This window comes from Homo sapiens, chromosome 1 (assembly GCF_000001405.40).
Source record: "Homo sapiens chromosome 1, GRCh38.p14 Primary Assembly".
Taxonomy (NCBI): domain Eukaryota; kingdom Metazoa; phylum Chordata; class Mammalia; order Primates; family Hominidae; genus Homo; species Homo sapiens.
Window position 1 is genome coordinate 5,954,130 of NC_000001.11, and position 18,811 is coordinate 5,972,940.

The window sequence follows — 18,811 nt, forward strand, 5'->3', positions numbered from 1 at the left end:
TTCAGTGAAAATAATCAAAGACAGAAGCAAAGATTTATGTGCAAGAATATTCATTGAAACTTTATTATAATAGAGAAAAATCGAAGCAACCAAATGTTCAATAGGGGAATGTTCACTAAACTATTATTCATCCTGCTGAATAAGAACAAAAAAAATCATACTGTCAAAGATTTAATAAATTGAGAAATAATCGTAATATTGTAAGTGAAAAGAATAGTAACATATGAAACTATTACGATTCCATCTGATAGCGATGGTATTTAAAAGCATGTGCACTTACATGTATACATGTGGATCTGCAGGCAGGAACTGTAGATTATTTTCTTCTTTATAGTTTTCTATATTGTCCCCATCACAAACTCACATTAGGTTTGCCCAATGGAACAGAATAGAGATTCCAGAAATAAATTCATGCCACCTACAGCTGACTGATTTTTAAAGAGGTGCCAAGAACACGCACTGGGGAAAAGGCAGTCTCTTCAATAAATGGTGCTGGACAAACTGGACACCCACATGCAGAAGAATGAGATGAGACGCCCTACCTCTCTCCATATATAAAAGTCAACTCAAAATAGATTGAAGACTTAAATGTAAAACCTGAAACTATGAAACTACTAGAAGAAAACGGAAGAAGTGCTTCGTAACACTGGGCTGAGTAAGGATTTTTTTAAGTAACATTGGGCTGTGAAAGGATTTTTTTAAATAAAACCGTAAAAGCACAGGCAACAAAAGCAAAAAGAAACAAATGGATTATATCAAAATAAAAAGGTCTTACACAATAAAGTAAACAATTAACCGAGTGAAGAGATAACCTGCACAATGGGAGAAAATATTTGTAAACTATATATCTAACAAGGGGTTAATATCCAGAATACATAAGGAATTTAAGCAACTCAACAGAAAAAAAAAAAAACTAGTAGCTTGATTTTAAAATGGGCAAAAGGCCTTAACAGACATTTCTCAAAAGAAGACGTTCGAATACCTGTAGGCACAGGAAACGATGCTCAGCCTCACTAGTCATCAGGGAAGTGAAAATTAAAACCACAATGAGATACCACCTCACTTCAGTGAGAATGGCCACCATCAAAAAGATAAAAGAAAATAAGCATTGGTGAGGACGTGGAGAAAAGGGAACACCTATACAATACGGGTGGGACTGCAAATTACAACAGCCACTATGGAAAACTAGACAGAGGTTCCTCAAAAAGTTGAAAATAGAATTCCCATATAATTCAGCAATCCTACTACTGAGTATATAATATCCAAAGGAAATGAAATCAGTATGTCAAAGAGATATCGCCACTCCCATGTTTATTGCAGCACTATTCACAACAGTGGAGACACAGAATCAACCTAGGTGTTCATCAATGGATGAATGCATAAAGAAAAGTAGTGTATCTACACAATGGAGTACTTACGCAACCACGATCAAAGAATGAAGTCCTGTCGCTTGCGACAACACAACATGAATGGACCTAGCAGACATCAAGGTTAAGTGGAATAAGCCAAGCACAGAAAGACAAATACCACATGATCTTACTCATATGTGGGATCTCAAAAAGAAGAGTTGGTACCATAGAAGCGGAGCACAGAACAGTGGTTATCAGAGACTGAGGAGGGGAGGGAGAGGTTGTCAAGGGGTCATGGTACAAGTTACAGTCTAAATTCTGCTGTTCCTGCACAGCAGGGTAATGACGGTTACCAGTAAGTTCCCGTAAAATACAAAAGAGCTAGAAGAGCAGCTAGAAGAGCGGCTTCTGAATGTCCTGACCACACAGAAATGATGAGTGTGGGAGATTACAGTCACGCTAGTACTCTCATTTGATCTACTCTACAACACATACGTGTACTGAAACATCACACTGTTCCCCATAAATATATACAATTACAGTAAGCCAAGAAACATTTTAACAGAATGTTTCAAAAAGCTGGGGGGGGGGGGTGCAGGGAGGGATGACATAAACTAAAATAACGGAGGACAAAGGCCATTTCCCAGACCGACTTCCTTTAGGAAAGATCACTTGTGTGCCATGGGTGCCCCATCTCAAGAGGCAGCAACTCAGTGGAGGGATCAGGGTCACCAGGCATCTGGGAGGGGGCAGAAGTCAGTGCTCCTGGAAGTGGCCCAGGCTGGGAAGGAAAGAGGTTCTGTGTGGCCACCTCATGACCAGGGTGCACACGCACCCCCAGGAGCAAAAGCCATTCCAATAGTTGTGACCCTGGTCTGCACAGAGAGCTGAAGATGCAAGTCCCACGCACAGGAAGTCATCAAGGGAGGAAAGATGGGTTCCCACCAGGACAGCCAGACTGAGGAGCTACATCTGCAGTGAGTAGAAACTTCCAGATCCTGGAGGGCCCAGGGAAGCCAGAGAAGCCTGGGTATCCTCATTCAGCCGGCTTGGCAGGCCACATCTTGCAAGCATCATGGGCTCTGGAGTAAAGCACCTGAGCCCAAGCCTGGCTCAGCCACCAAGTTACTCTGTGACCTTCGAGAGGCCAGGCCTGGACAAAAACACAGCTGGGCCCGGTGCTGAGTGTTGCCTTCGCACATCTGAAGGGCTAGCTAGCAAAGGGCAAACAGATCAGACCTCCCAGGACGCTCTACTGTAGGAGGCTTGGATCTGGGCTGAATTTAAGACACAACTTTCATGATGAAGACGCTAGTGCTTTACCAATCCATCTCATTTTCTCCCCAAATACATCTTTATGAGCAGGCCCTATTATTGTCCCCAATTTATAAAGGAAAAACAAAAGCAAAGACTTGGAGAGGCTGGGAAACCTGCCCCCAGCTCACATCGTGGCTAGACGTGGAGCAGACAACCGCCACAGGTCTGTCAGCCTCCAGCATAACCCAACAAGCATCCTTTTACTACCTGAAATCATTCACTCTTTCACTCACTCATTCAACTAACCAACCAACAGCAGCAACCACGGCAGACATGAACCCCACCGTGGCAGAAGTGACCCCCACTGCAGCAGAGGCGTTCTGCCCTTCATGCTCTGTAGCTTGGCCTACCTTTAATTTATCTGTTGCCAAGTCTCTGGCTAGGAAAGGAATTCCCAATAACAGCATTGCTCCTATGGAAAAACACACCCCACTCTACAACAATCCATTTTATTCTGGGACCCCCATAAGCACACTACAGAGAAAACAGGGATTGCCAGCAAACCCTTCACAAGCAAGAACCCCCTTCCCACTGACATACAGTGGAGAGCCCCTGAGATTCCCCTAGGCCCTAACGGGCTCCCACAGCCCACAGCCTCTTGGGGACACAGCTCTTCTGCTAGGGATATTTAATTCAGCAGAATGCACCTCAGAAACAAGACCACTGCAACAGTGGGATATTTAATTCAGCAAAATGCACCTCAAAAACAAGACCGCTGCAACAGTGGGATATTTAATTCAGCAGAATGCACCTCAAAAACAAGACCGCTGCAACAGTGGGATATTTAATTCAGCAGAATGCACCTCAAAAACAAGACCGCTGCAACAGTGGGATATTTAATTCAGCAGAATGCACCTCAAAAACAAGACTGCTGCAACAGTGGGATATTTAATTCAGCAGAATGCACCTCAAAAACAAGACCGCTGCAACAGTGGGATATTTAATTCACCAGAATGCACCTCAAAAACAAGAACGCTGCAACAGCGACAGCAGAATGAAAACTACATTTAGGAATGATTTAAGCAGGAATGAAAATGACTTTGAGCTAGTCCAGGTTTATTCTAAAACACCTATTGCCTTTGGTGACTGTGGTTAGATTTGAGGTCTGCCCTTACCAAAATCCATTCAAGAGAGACCTATGACCTCCCTCCTAAGAGTGCAATGTGACATCCTCAGCACCCAGCCCAGGGCCTGCTTCACAGTGTCTACTCAATAAATATTTGTTGAATAAATCAGTGAATAAATGAATGAATTAGTGAATACGTAAAAAGTATACACCAAACTATGATCAGTGGTTTTCTCCACGGAGTTAGACTAGAAGGGAAGACTTTCAGTTTTCACTAAATGTACTGAACACACATGAACTTCGTGGTTTTAAAACGCTCTTTAGCATATTGTATAAAAGGGGCAAACAACTGACAAGCTGCATTGGCACTGGCCAGGAACAGCCGTCAGAAAGCAGCCTCAAGGCCAGGCACAGTGGCGCATGTCTGTAATCCCAGCACTTTGGGAGGCCAAGGCAGGTGCATTCCTTGATGCTGGAGCTCAGGAGTTTGAGACCAGCCTGGGCAACACGGAGAAACCCTGTCTCTACAAAACATACAAAAATTAGCTGGAGGCCAGGCGCCATGGCTCACACCTGTAATCCCAGCATTTTGGGAGGCCGAGGTAGGTGGATCACCTGAGGTCAGGAGTTCGAGACCTGCCTGGCCAACGTGGTGAAACCCCGTCTCAACTGAAAATACAAAAATTAGCTGGGCATGGTCGTGAACACTTGTAATCCCAGCTACTCGGGAGGCTGAGGGAGGAGGATCACTTGAACCCGGAAGGCGGAGGTTGTAGTGAGCCGAGATTGTGCCACTTCACTCTTGCCTGGGCGACAGAGCAAGACTGTCTCAAAAAAAAAAAAAAAAATTAGCCAGGCATGGTGGCACATGCCTATAGTCCTTACTACTCAGGAGGCTGAGGTGGGAGATTGACTTGAGCATGGGAGGCAGAGTTTGCAGTGAGCCAAGATTGTGCCACTACACTCCAGCCTGAAGAAGAGCCAGACCCTGTCTCAAAAAAAAAAAAAAAAAGAATTAGAGAAGAATCTGGCTGTCATTACATACATAATTTAAAAAGTTTAAAAAGTAAAATAAAAAGAAAGTAACCTCAGGGCCCACACGGCACTGGCACCCCAAACACAACAGAAAGGCTGGGCAAATTGTGTTTCTCTCCCAAAACAACTCTGAGAGTGGGGGCGGGGGGCGGGGGGGCGGCAGGTGTTGCTGAGATACCTATCCTTTCTCTCCGAAAGGCGCATACGACCCTTACCTGGTGGAGTCAGTCAGTCCCCCTCCCTCCCTCCGGACACCATGGCGTGTGCTCACCCTGCCCTCAGATCCCCTGCTCACTCGATTTTCAACACCAGCAGCATAAAACGTCATTAATTTTGCAATGTTCTAGGCACTGCCAGCATTCGTTTGGCACCTTGGTGACGGGCCGGCTGCTCCACACCTGGAAGGCCGACTTGAGGCCAACGGGCCAGACCTCTTCCGAAGCATGGCTTTTAAGAATGAGGAGCAGGAATCATGCACCCCAGGCTCAAGCTCTTTAATCCAAAACTCTGTCTCCCATCTTGTGGTCCCCTTGGCCCCAGCTTGACACAAGACACTAGGAACAAAACCAGGCCTGTCCTCTTGGGGCACCACGGCTTCTCATTTGCAGTCCTAGTCATGAGGCTGAGCCAGTCCAGTGACCTGCAGGTAATTCTGTTGGTCTGCAGTTCTACTGACACCCACGGGCAAGTCACAAAGTGATGACTACCCCTCCGGCTCCAAGACTCCCAGGTAGTAAGACTGACACAGCTGACTTGAAAGCAGCACACAGCTAGTCCCAAGATCAGTATCCACCAGGCGACATCTCACAGCTAGTCCCAAGATCAGTATCCACCAGGTGACATCTCACAGCTAGTCCCAAGATCAGTATCCACCAGGTGACATCTCACAGCTAGTCCTGAAGATCAGTATCTAACAGGCAACATCTCACAGCTAGTCCCAAGATTAGTATCAACCGGGTGACATCTGAAAGCTAGTTCTGAAGATCAGTATCAACTAGGCAGCAGCACACAGCTAGTTCCAAGATCAATATCAACCAGGCGGCAACTCACAGTTAGTCCTGATGATCAGTATCAAGCAGGCGACATCTCACAGCGGCGCCTACAGGGCCCTCCCTGGCCAGCAGAACAGGGGCCAGAAGGACAAGCCACGGACCAGGTCTCAGAGCCAGACACAGGTTTTCATGTTCTCTTTGCTCAACTCAACAGCAGTGACAATGAGGCCTTCCCTCTGTCTCCTTCTTCCTTTCAGAGGATTGCAGGCAGATTACAGGGTAAGACACCCCGAAGTGGGCGTGGAGAGCACTTATAGCTCAGTGAGCAGGACAGACCCAGACTGCGACCCCACGCTTGCTCTTGTTCAGAGTTCATTCCTCCCTTCTCATTTCTCACCCTCTCCTCCCTGGAATGCTGGAAAAACAGTGACTTCACAATGATGATGTCCACCATAGACCTATCCAAGAAATTAATTAACTCAGATAATAACATCTACACCCCAGCACCAACCAGAATGCCTGTACGATGCACAGGGCTGTCATTGCCAACAACCAGGGACCTGCGCCGGAGCCGAGCTGCATCCTTTTCTTCAGGGTCCAGAATGAGCCAAACTCTCAGCACAGCACTGCTCTCGGTCCCCGCCCCTCACACACAAGGTCAAATCCTGCTCTTCCTGGAACCCAGCAGGGAGTCAGTCACCCAAGACACCCGAGGTTCTGGTGGTGCCAGGACATCTCCATCACATGACAGGTAGAAGGAGGCTGGTGTGTCCCTTCTCCTGGAGTCCTCAAGAAAGCCACACAAAAGTCTCCAGAAGTGCCTGGAAGAAGCATGCAGCCCAGGCCATGAGGACCACCCAGAAGATTCCTACAGCAGAGCACACCCCCAACACTCCCATGGCTGCTGGGGTCGACCCAATTCCACCACCAGAGAATCAACTTCTGAAAACCACACCAAGACAGAGCCCTTGTCCTTTAACACGAATTTCAGTTTCCAAAAATCCTCAGGTCACTGCACACCCATGTTCACAGCAGCCAGAAGGCGGAAGGCTCAAGTGTTAACTGATGAAACAATCAGCAGAACATGGTCCATCCATAGACTGGAATATCATCCAGCCTTAAGATGAAAAGGAAGGAAACTGGGACACACACTATAACATGGATGAACCTCGAAAACACTCCACTCAGAACTTTGAAGACATTTCACTCTTAGGATGAACTAACAGAGCAATTCCCCTCTCTTCCTAAAGAATGCCGGCCACTGAAGGACAAGGACTGCATGATCCCAGTCCTATGAGGTCCCTAGAGTCACTGAAACCATGAAGACAGAAAGCGGAAGGGTGGCTGCCAGGGGCTGGGGGAGTAGGGAATAGGGAGTCAGTGTGGAAGGGGACGGAGCTTCAGCCGGGGAAGAGGAAAGAGCTCAGGGATGGATGGTGCTGCTGGCTGCACTACAATGTGAATGTACTTATTGCCACTGAACTGTACATTTTAAAAGGGCTAAGACGGTCAATTTTATGTTATCCTTATTTTACCTTAATTTAAAAATCATCATCATGATCATCAGGTCACTGATATGATGCCACATGGCTGAGATCCAGCCAGTGGTCTTCCTAGCTATGGTCACAGAGACTTGAACTCTGTCTCTCACGAAAGCATTTTCCCAACCAAAGCAGCCAGAAATGACTCGAAGGATGTGAGACACTATTTAGGAGGGAAACGGAAACTAGACTGCCATTCCATCCTCCTCCACTGTCCCCCACAACCCCCGCCAGGCCGTGCTGCTGAGCTGCAGAGGGGCGCTCGGCCCACGCTGCCCCCAGAAGAGCCCAGTGCCTTCAAGGTTTCACTGTGAACTAGGACAGACTCACCTCACCAAGTGGAGAGAATCAAAGACGCCCTTACCGGATTCTCCATGAGCTGGAAGCAGGCCAGGTATCTGCTGCAGACCAGACACCAGAAGGTTCTCAGGAAGAAGGTGGAACGCAGGCTCCAGGGCCGGGTGTGGCTTCAGCGTGTACTGCAGGCTGCAGTTCTCAATGAGGGTCATGTGTCTGTTTTCTGGTGAAGAAAACACAATGTGATCAACTGATAGCTGAAAGCAAAGGTGCTTCCAGTCAAACCAGCCAATTAACAGAGAATGTTAGAAACACCACAAACAGGAAAAGGACTTTTCTAGGGAGAGTGAAGTGGTGCTCTGTTCCGCCTCAAGTGAAAGGCATTGATCTTTAATAACCTTCTCTGGTAAAGTTACAATTTAAAAAATGTTTTAATTTTTCTTTTTTGTTTGTTTGTTTGTTTGTTTTTAGAGACAGGGTGCCACTCTGTTTGCCCAGGCTGGAGAGCAGTGGTGTAATCATAGCTTCCTGAAGCCTCAAACTCCAGGGCTCAAGTGATCCTCCCACCTTGGCCTCCCAAAGTGCTGGGATTACAGGCATGAGACACCATGCCCGGCCTGGAGGTGCAGTTTTTAATCCAACATAAAATCTCTCCCACCCACTAATTCCCTCAGTCTCCTGAGAGCACAGACAGGCACAGACTGTGCAGTTTCCCCAGGTCTCGCTGGTCCCTGCCATCAGAGGGGCCTGGAGGACACCCTGGCCCGAGGCCTGCCTGCCTGCCTTTGTGTGTCAGCACTTGTATCCACCAAGCCCCAAACGGAGGAGGGCAGCACTGGAGGGAGGCCAGCAGCATCAGAGACAGAGCCCTGTCCTCAGGGAGGAGCCACTTTCCTGGAGTGATGGCTAAGACCAAACACGTGGATACCCATAACGCACGGGAGAACTGGATCCGAACCACGGGACAGATGTGGGTAAAGCACGAGGGGGAACGTGAGGAGGAAAAAGGGCATGAAGGAAAGACTCTGGAGAAATGACACCCGGGAGGAGTGCGGCTACACCGCAGGGCGGGCAGGCCCTGAAGGTAGAAGGAACAGCATTCCCAGAAACGGGAGTGCGGGGAGAGGCACACCCCCGAAACACAGGGCCTGGGCTGCCCTCTTCACATTCCCACCAAACGGCCAATCTTGCTCGGGCCTGATTTTCTCCAGTGACAGGAAGTCCACCACATCCCGAGGCACAGGGCATGCACGTGGTCTCAGGCGGCTCAAGTCCCAGCTGTGGCCGGGCCAGGGACAGCTGCTGAGAGTCACAAGTTCAGCTCATTCATGTTCTGATTTCATAAAGAAAGAGCTAAATATGAACTACTGTATTATCAGAAAAAGAAATTTGTGAAAAACTAGGTCCGCCATGGGGGCTCACGCCCATAATTCCAGCACAGGTGGATCACCTGAGGCCAGGAGTTTGAGACCAGCCTGATCAACATGGTGAGACCCCATCTCTACTAAAAATACAAAAATTACCCAGGCGTGGTGGTGCATGCCTGTAATCCCAGTGACTTGGGACGCTGAGGCAGGAGAATCGCTTGAACCCGGGAGGCAGAGGTTGCAGTGAGCCGAGATTGCACCACTGCAATCCAGCCTGGGTGACGGAGATTCCATCTCAAAATAAAAAAAAAAAGAAATTGGTGAAACACTGTATTTTTTTTAGTACCTAACCACTTCAAACATGGAATCTGCTTACTTTAAAATTTAAAATACTGCTAAAGGTATTTGACCTGAGTGGCTAGTCAGGAGTCACAACCTCTCTGGGGGCGGGGCACACAGGAGAAATAGGAAAAGACTCCAAATGCTCAGACCTCAGACCCAGCCACCAGCTTCAGGATTTTGCCCTAAGAATTCACGCACATGCTCAGGGGAAGGGCGGACGCCCACTGCAACGGGGTTTCCAACCTTTTCTTTTCTTTTTTTTTTTTTTTTTTGAGACAGAATCTTGCTGTCACCCAGGCTGCAGTGCAGTGGCATGATCTCGGCTCACTGCAACCTCCGCCTCCCGAGTTCAAGCAATTCTCCTGCCTCAGCCTCCCCAGTTGCTAGGATTACAGGCACCTGCCCTCACACCTGGCTAATTTTTGTGTTTTTAGTAGAGACAGGGTTTCACCATGTTGACCAGGCTGGTCTCGAACTCCTGATCTCAGGTGATCTGCCTGCCTTGGCCTCCCAAAGTGCTGGGATTACAGGCGTGAACCACCGCTCCTGGCCCAACCTCTTCTTACAGAAACCCCTAAGGGTCGGTATGCAGGTCTATTCAATCAATCATGAAACATCAATTCCACGAAACACCACAGAGCTGTAAAAAGAGTGAGTGCTTTCTGTGTACTGATAGGAAACATTCTTCTAGACAAATTGTAAGGGAAGAAAGCAAGGTGTGGAACAGTGAGTAAGAAGAGGTCAAGAATCAGATGCAATACTGGACAAGCGCATTAGCTTCTGTGTCCGTAAAACGACCCCGGAAGGGTCTGTTACCAGGGCAGCCCTGATGAAATAACAGCAAAAGTTCCTTTTTCTCACTGTTTTCCTTCAGTCCCTTTATCTATGGGTACAGCTGCTTTAAAGGAACCAGATGGCAGGGATGCCACCAGAGCTTCTTGACCCCTGACCAAATACCAGAGAGAGATGGAGCCCCACGAAACTGCTGCAAACTAGAACAGGTGAGCCCCAGTTGCCTTTAGACCATTAGCATATCATTATAATGCTAAAGACCATTCTCCAAGAGAAGACCACCGCGTGTTCTGTACAAGCCATGCCTGGAGAAGCATGTTATGATCTGCGTCAATGTGCCTGGAGTCCCACCCTCCCGGCCTGTACCCAGTCCTTCATCTCCATGCCTCCCACTGTCCAGGGAGAAGGTGCCTTTAAAGTGAGGGCTCCCTTCTCCACTCCCTGGCCAGTGAGTAAAACCTGACTACCTTTTCCAATTGGATATTCTTTCTTTGCAGCCGACACAAAGTGGGAAAAGAACTCGGTTCTCCAGTGACAGATCCACAAGAACCCAAAGAGAGAGGTTACCTGGTAGCAGGTGAGGGGATGGGGAAAGGAGACCTCACTCTCAACTTTTTATATGTATATATTTTATATATATATAACACACATATAAATATACTATATATAAAATATATAATACATATATATTATATATATATATATATATATATATTTTTTTTTTTTGAGGCAGGGTCTCACCGTCGCCCAGGCTGGAGTGCAGTGGTGCAATCATGGCTCACTGCAGCCTAAAACTCCTGGGCTCAGCAATCCTCCCACCTCAGCCTCCCAAGTAGCTATGACCACAGGGGCGCACCGCCATACCCAGTTAATGTTTGTATTTTTTGTAGAGATGGGGTCTCACTATGTTGCCCACGATGGTCTCAAACTCCTGGCCTTAAGCAATCTGCCCACCTCAGCCTCTCAAAGTGTTGGGATTACAGGTGTGAGCCACTGCACCCGGCACTTTTTTATACTTTTGGATTCTGAATCATGTGAGTGTATTGCCATTACCAGCAAATTTTGGGAAAAGCCCACTGCAAGGATGAGTGAAGGGCCCCGCAGCAGGTTCCTCCTCACAGCCTCCACTCAGGGCCAACAGCTTCCACACAGACGCATGGACATGTGGACTGTGGACGTGGAGCGAATGTGGTGGCTGTCTACTTTGTTCTCAGGATACTTCTGGACAGAAAATCCCAGCATATGACTAATTAGATTCAGTTGAAAAATAACCTAAAAGCCAATCTTCAGCAACGAAATGAAGTTCCTGACTGGTTGTTCTCAGTAAACTAAAAATAAAATCCTGAGCCCCCAGTGGACTGAAGGGACCTCCTCTTGGCCTAGAGGACTCCAGAGCAGCCTTGAAAACTGAGTTCCAGGAGTGACAGGAGGGGACCAGACAGGCCTCCACATGCCCCGGCCCATGCTAACCACCGTTAGCCTTTCTTCCCTCAGGACTGGAACCAGCCCTTCTAGAGACTCCATCGCTGCTGCTGCCCAGCGATCACCCACCGCTCTCCCTCTTCTGGATAGTCTACGGAGGGCATGCAGGGAGGGCTTTCGTGTCCCCTGCTTCACCTTTTGACATCAGAGGCCGAGAACTTCCCCTCGGGTCCTGCCAGTGCCACCACGTTTTGAACACTGTGTCCCATGAAGCGGCATGGGACTCAGCTGCGCACGTGCACGCTTCTCTCATAAACACGCAGGACTCCTCCTGGGCTTATTAAAATAAGCAGGCTCAGCCCCCACTCAGCAGAAATTCCTCTTCCCTCTGCCCCTCTCTCGAAGGGTCTGTTTCTGGCTTCTGGCTGGAGGCTACACTTCCCAGCCTGTCAGAAAGGCCACCTGCAGGCTGCAGCCCTTTATGAGAAATGAATCTCTCCTTTCCAGTCTCAGGAACCTCATCACTCTTCAGCTGACATCTCCTATCACGAGATTGTCACCAAGACCAGTGAGGGGCAAAGGGAGTGGGTTTGACGTTTTGTTTTGTTTTGTTTGAGACAGGGTCTCACTGTGTCACCCAGGCTGGAGTGCAGTGGTGCAATCTCACCACACTGTAATCTCTGCCTCCTGGGGTGAAGTGATTCTCCCACCTCAGCCTCCTGAGTAGCTGGAACTACAGGCACACACCACTACACCTGGCTAAATTTTTGTATTTTTTATAGAGACAGGTCTTACTATGTTGCCCAGGCTGGTTTCGAACTCCTGAGAGCTCAAGTGATCCACCTGCCTCAGCCACCAAAGTGCTGAGATTACAAGCCTGAGCCACCGTGTCTGGCCAGGTTTGACTTTTAACACAAGCCACGAGGCACACATGACATCCCCTTCGAGGAATCTGGGCAGCATCTCACCTCGAAGAGACAGAAAAGTCACCCTCCCCAACAGATCCACCTCCGGCCACTCTTCCCCACCCACACTCCCCCAACTGCTAGGCAAGCACAGCCTCTGTGCTCTGAGCCTCCCTGATGTCCTTCTAGCCCACTCCCACCCCTCCCACCACACGCCCTTCCTGTCATCCTCCAGGCAGGCAGCAGCAGAGCAGACCGTCATCCCCATCCTTCCCAAATGGCTCCCTCTGGCTGCCTGGGAACGGCTGGTCACTGAGGAACAGCAGGAAGCTCCCCGCCGACCCCTGCTCTGCTCTAAGGCGGCCTCTCAGCCATGGGGCCTTGCCATGCTGGAGATAACCGACGGCTGTGCGGTCAGAGGTTTGAGACAGCCGGTGGCTGGTGACAGAGAGCTACTACTTCATCTGGTGAGCAGAGCTGTTCCCCTCCCTCCAGGTGGCTCTCACAGGCGCTCCCGTGCTCATCCCCACAAACCAATGCCCTCCCTCAGGGCTGGTGTGTTTCAGTTCTTTACTTTCTGCCAAAAGTCCAAGGCCACGAAACATCTGCCAAAACCTCTTAGATAAATTAGCTAAGCAGATAGCAGTTTACACTGAGAAAGATCCCATTCAGAGCTAAAGGTGGGGAACACTCAGGGAAGGCACGAGAGCAGTGAGTGCTGCCAAGGCCAGGTCTGGCTCTTACGCTCTGCGGGGTCCTGGAGAAGCGGGTGCAGGAGGGCTCTGGGGGTGCCATGGTACAGCCGCAACCTGGAAGACAGGACCCAGAGAACAGTCGTCAGCCACGTGCGCACTTCTCAGAAGGAAAGCACATGGAGGCCTCAGCCACCACCACGCCCACTAGAGCTTTCTAAACTCCACCAGTCCCATCCTCTGCGGAAGGCAGAGGCAGCTGAGGCCAGCAGCAGCTCCCCAAGCCGTTGGTGCTTGTGGCCAAGCATGTCTGGCACACACGCAGCCCCAACCAAGGCAGCCTGAGAATTGAGGAGCTTTCCTGGAAAACACCATGGAAATTTACAAAACTCTGAAATGTCTCAAGACAACATCTGAGGAATTTCCACAGCTGTATATCTGGAGCAGTGGTTCTCAACCAGCGATGATTCTGCTCCCTAAGGCACATTTGGCAATGTCTGGAGACATTTTTTTTCGTTTGTCACAACAGGGCCAGGGAGCAGGGAGGCAGTGCCCTGGCATCTAGTGCGTTGCCAGGGATGCTGATAAACATCCTACAGCACAGACGACAGCCCCGCGACAGCAAACAATTATCCATTCGCAAGTCAGTGGTGTCAAGCTTGAGAAACCCTGACTTGGAGTAAACATGTAGGCTTTAACCCTAGCTGAAAGGATGATGCGCCAGCCTATCCACCCGTATGCCCGGCTCCTACACAGAGCCTGGCACGCGACAGACACTCAGCCAGCGTGTGCTGAATGAACACCTACTGCCTGCCAGGCACCTGTGAAAAACACATCGCTCAATATTCAAGCAGAACTTACGAGATATGCATTATCATTACTCCTCATATACAGATGAATAAATTCAGGGTCCAAGAGCTCAAATCACTTACCTGAAGTCCCACAGAGAATCAGTGCTAGAGTACAACTTTGGCCCATATCCATACTACCTCAAATCCATCACTGGTGGTCAAAGCCAGCCCTTACTCCGGCCTAAAGAACAATTCCTTAAGTCACTTAGAAATGGCAAACCCAGCCGGACACAGCGGCTCACGTCTGTAATCCCAACACTTTGGGTGGCTGAGGCGAGCAGATCTCTTGAGCCCAGGAGTTCAAGACCAGCCTGGGCAACATAGGGAGATCCCGTCTCTACTAAAAACACAAAAATTAGCCAGGCATGGTGGCACAGACCTGTAATCCCAGCTACGTGGGAGGATGACACACAGGAATCGCTTGAGGCTGGAGGCGGAGGTGGCAGTGAGCCAATGTTGCACCACTGCACTACAGCCTGGGTGACAGAGCAAGACCCTGTCTCGAAGAAAAAAAAAAAGGCAAACCCCCAAGCAAGACACATCCCACACTATGCTATTATGGACACACAACTTTAGATGACAAATGTACAGCCTTCTACTGCCACCATAAGACGAGCAGTTAAACCACCATAGAAAGATGCTGGAATCTGGCCAGGCGCAAAACCCCATCTCTACTAAAAATACAAAAATTAGCCAGACATGGTAGCAGGTGCATCACTTGAGGTCAGGAGTTCGAGACTAGCCTGGCCAACATGGCAAAACCCCGTCTCTACTAAAAATACAAAAATCAGCTGGGCGTGGCACCTGTAATCCCACCTACTTGGGAGGCTGAGGCACGAGAATCGCTCGAACCCAGGAAGCGGAGGTTGCAGTGAGCCGACATTACACCACTGCACTCTAGCCTGGTTGACAGAGTGAGAATCTGTCTCAAAAAAAAAAAAAAAGACAGACGCTGGAAAACCCCAGGGTTGTAGAAACAAGGCAGGTACCTTTTGTCCTGGGAAGCAGAGATAGGAGAGTCCGGCTGGTTGCTGAAGATCCGAAGAATTCCAAACCCACAGGACAATGTCTGGAGGCTCCCATCCCGTTTCTTGCCCTCAGCGACCACTTCCACCACAGCCACGATATGAGGGTGGTTTAGGGATGTGTGAAAATACAAGGGCTGCAGAACAGAAGCCAGAGGATGGTCTGAGTGTTCAGGACACACACAAAGAGGACATGGGCGCTGTCCCCACCCCCGAGACCGCCTTCCTACACGTGCCACAGCATCCGGAACCCTCTACCATGCCCTCATGTGGTGTACCACATCTCTGCAGGATGCCAGGGAAGCAGGCACACTGAGGTAACTCCCTCAGACTGAAATGTTGGTGTCGGAGCTCTTTATTCCAGAGCACCCAACAACCAGGGCATCAGATGTCTGCTTCCGCTCCAGGAACTTTCCATTCCCTAGGAATTCCACCACAAGAAACACCAACAGATCCCAGGCCCACTAGAGCAGAATGGGGCTAGAGCAGCTATGCACCCAACCCTGCAGGGGGACACACCAGGTAGGACCATGGTTAGATCAGCCCAAGACGTAACACATCCACCACTAAAAAGACACGCACGTGCTGATCAATTCATGCTCCTAGTATCGCCTGACACTCAACACAGACAACTTCGATCACACCTTCCCAGTGCTGCTTCGTGCGTAACCATTTTGAGTTCCATCTGAACTGTATTTAAACTATTAACAAGAAGAATCCTTGAATTTCTTTAGGTGCTAAGTAATTATCCCCGGTTCAGAGCCCAAAAGACTAAAGTCTTTTTATGCCGAAAATCACCTTGAGATCATTTTATTAAAAGATTTCTCAAGATGTAAGCCAAGTAGATGATATTCAAATTGATCTTAAAAGGTTTTCCACTCACACCTTCCCATTCCCAACATGCAAATGGCCAGCCTCTGCCTCCGCCTTCCTGCCAGGCCCAGGGAGAGGAGGCCTGGGAAGACAGCACAGGAGACTCAAACCCCTCTCTGCATCTCATACGGGCGCTCCCACTTGGGAATGAAAGCACCTTCACTCTGCTGCTGCTTTTCTATTGCGTTAAATTCAATGCAGTTGTTTTTATTTAAAATAATTAAGGGGCCTGGGGTGGTGGCTCGCACCTGTAATCCCAGCACTTTTGGGAGGTCAAGGCAGGAGGATCACTTGAGCTCAGGAGTTCAAGATCACCTGGCAACATAGCCAAACACCATCCCTATGAAAAATACAAAAATTAGCCAGGCATGGTGGTGCACACCTGTGGTCCCAGCTACTTAGGAGGCTGAGACAGGAGGATCACTTGAGCCTGGGAAGCAGAGGTTGCAGTAAGCCGAGATCACGCCACCGCACTCCAGCCTGGGCAGCAGAGTGCAACTTTGTCTAATAAAAAGAAAGAAAGAAGGAATGCCGTAGCACAGTAGACAGAGATGAAGACACTGACTGAGTTTGCTAATCAACAGGGAATGCGCATCCCCAGGCATCAGGAGTGGTGCTGAGCCCATACCCCAACACCCCAGCTGGGGGGCAAAGCACAGGTCACCAGCTGAGCACAGAGACCGCCCCCATAAGGCACAAAGAGGTAAGGAGAGCCGAGGCTGGTCTTCCGCTCTATGACTTAAACTTGGAATAATCCTCCTATTAACGAGTCATTACCATGGTGTCACCGAGAAAACGTTTACTGTAATCACAGACTGTCAGCCCAGGATAACAGAGAGATGCATTAAAACATCAGCCATGAGATATAAATCGTTATTCTATTATCTTTTATTGCAATATGATGAAATAATGACCACTTACAGCTGACAGGTGGTTGGACTAAGAGAGAATTATGTTTGTTTCCAAGACTCCAGAACCGCTTTTAAAAAGCCCCACTGCAAAGTCGAGTTGGTCATTAACTCACCTTTTCTATTTATACCTGTGCTTATCAGTCTTACGAACACTACTCACTTTTTCTATTGGCAATAAACATTTTCAACTCTGATACCCAGCAACAACAATCTGCCAGCCTAGAGGTCACCCTGAAATTACTCTACCTGAACCGGGTGGAACCTGCCGCTACGGGCATGTCCCAAATACAAGTTTATGGCTATGCCTCTCCCTTCTGTTTACCACTAAAAATAATCACTCTGAGGCCAAAAACAACAACAACAGCAACAGAGCCCCAGAGCTGCTTGTCTCAGCTGATCCAACCTTAGAATCTAAAGAATCCATCTTTAATCAGAAGAGTCAGCCGCTCCAAGTGCAGCATGTTTGAAAAGTTCAGATGGTTGTACCAGTACAATTACTGATTGATAAGGACATATGTTCTTTTCCAAAAATCATTTATTGACCCTCCAGTGTGGGAACAGCCCCAAGCTAAAGAATTTATAACGAACCTGGAAAACACAAGTCAGCTTTCAAGAAGCTCGAGCCTCGAAGGCTTCATAAACGACAGATGAGGCAGGCACAAAACTGCGAGCAACAGAGCCACATGGCTGCACCCCTCGGGTCACCCCAGCAAAGTCATATTCGACCAGGTCACCGGTGCCTGACCACCCAATTCCCGCCTCACTCAGCCAGGCAGCACCCAGCTGAGGAATACCTGTACACACATCCTTCAGTCTAGGGAAACTTAACGAGCGCCACTGCCATACATTTGGAAAGGAACATTCTCTACATCAACTGAAACTGCACTATTAAAAGGTTAAGTCAAGCCCATCAAATCGCCTGCAGGGCAAGGTCACTGGAGACAGAGGGAGACGGGCTCTCTGTCACCCCTGCCTCGCAGCTCACTTATCTGCACTGGTCAAGTTTCCTCCTTGACAGCATAAACAGATTAATAAATCATTTAAATGCTCCTGTCTTAATGCCTTCATCTTCAAAAACACGGACACCATTTTGCCTCGGGGCCCAGTTTCCATTTTTCACCCGCAGTGATGGAAGTGGAATTGGGCCTCTGCCGATGTGCCTGGATGAAGAGGCCGCAGCCGGGCACCCCCCATGGCACGGCCACATGACCTGGCACCTGCATGACATGGGCTCCTCAGACAACGCTGGGCAGCAAGGCCAGAGAGGAGCTGAGCAGGAACAGAATGAGTCCCTTCCAAAGAACTGTTTTAATAAGCCTTTAACAGGATATCTTCAGCCAGGCAAACAATGCAGAGACTTCATGCAGTTCCTACCCTCTGGCTCAGACTCACACTGCGGGTTCGGAGGGCTTCCCAGACACTACCCCTCAAAGACAGCAGGGATCGGGGGAGCCCAGATTTCCACAGCAAAGCATCATGACAGGGACAGGGACAGCCCCCTGCCCCACGAATTATCCAGCCCACAATGTCAGCAGTGCCAAGGTTGAGAAACTCTCATTTGGAGTAAAAATGTAAACTTTAATCCTGGCTGAAAGGATAATACAACATCTTATCCATCTCTGCACTTCCAGCTCCTAAACACAGCCTGGCACACAGAAGACCCTTAACCAACATTTCTTGAATAAAAACTACTGCCCACTGGGTCCCTGCTTATGGAAAAGCACATGACTAAATACTCCAGCAGCACTTAGGGGATGCACACTCTTTATCTCTCATGAGCAAATGAATCAAGTCAGGAGGAGCTTATTTTTTTCTTGCAAATTAATTTAATTTCTTTCTTTCTTTTTTTTCATAGGTTTTTGGGGAACAGGTGGTATTTGGTTACATGAGGAAGCTCTTTAGTGGTGATCTGTGAGATTACGGTGCACCCATCACCCGAGCAGTATCCACTGAACCTAATTTGTAGGGTTTTTTTTTGTTTGGTTTTTCTTTTTTTTGACAGAGTCTTGCTCTATCACCCAGGCTGGAGTGCAG

General features: G+C 48.7%; 1 protein-coding gene across 32 annotated transcripts in view, besides 2 other annotated features; it reads right to left on the bottom strand.

The window, feature by feature from the left end:
• The window catches only part of NPHP4 (nephrocystin 4), a 129,615-nt gene that overhangs the window by 91,319 nt on the left and 19,485 nt on the right, over window positions 1–18,811 (bottom strand). For 30 of the 32 annotated variants that reach the window (NR_111987.2, XR_007058632.1, XM_006710563.4 and 27 more), the window contains 3 exons: window positions 14,958–15,130; window positions 13,170–13,234; window positions 7,665–7,820 (listed from right to left, as the gene is read on the bottom strand). Coding sequence is in view for 28 of the 32 variants with exons in the window: in XM_006710563.4 (XP_006710626.1) it covers window positions 7,665–7,820; window positions 13,170–13,234; window positions 14,958–15,130 (394 nt within the window). In the remaining 4 variants the exon portion in view is untranslated. Of the gene's footprint in view, window positions 1–7,664; window positions 7,821–13,169; window positions 13,235–14,957; window positions 15,131–18,811 lie in introns of those variants that run through there. The other 2 variants (XM_047417607.1, XM_017001001.2) reach the window with 2 other exon arrangements.
• Window positions 12,914–13,413: an enhancer, noted in NCBI's record as "H3K4me1 hESC enhancer chr1:6027103-6027602 (GRCh37/hg19 assembly coordinates)". NCBI's record gives its function as "activates a minimal SCP1, AML or CMV promoter by ChIP-STARR-seq in naive H9 embryonic stem cells {active_cell/tissue: H9 hESC(naive)}" and the evidence as "EXISTENCE:reporter gene assay evidence [ECO:0000049][PMID:30033119]".
• Window positions 17,488–17,987: an enhancer, noted in NCBI's record as "H3K4me1 hESC enhancer chr1:6031677-6032176 (GRCh37/hg19 assembly coordinates)". NCBI's record gives its function as "activates a minimal SCP1, AML or CMV promoter by ChIP-STARR-seq in naive H9 embryonic stem cells {active_cell/tissue: H9 hESC(naive)}" and the evidence as "EXISTENCE:reporter gene assay evidence [ECO:0000049][PMID:30033119]".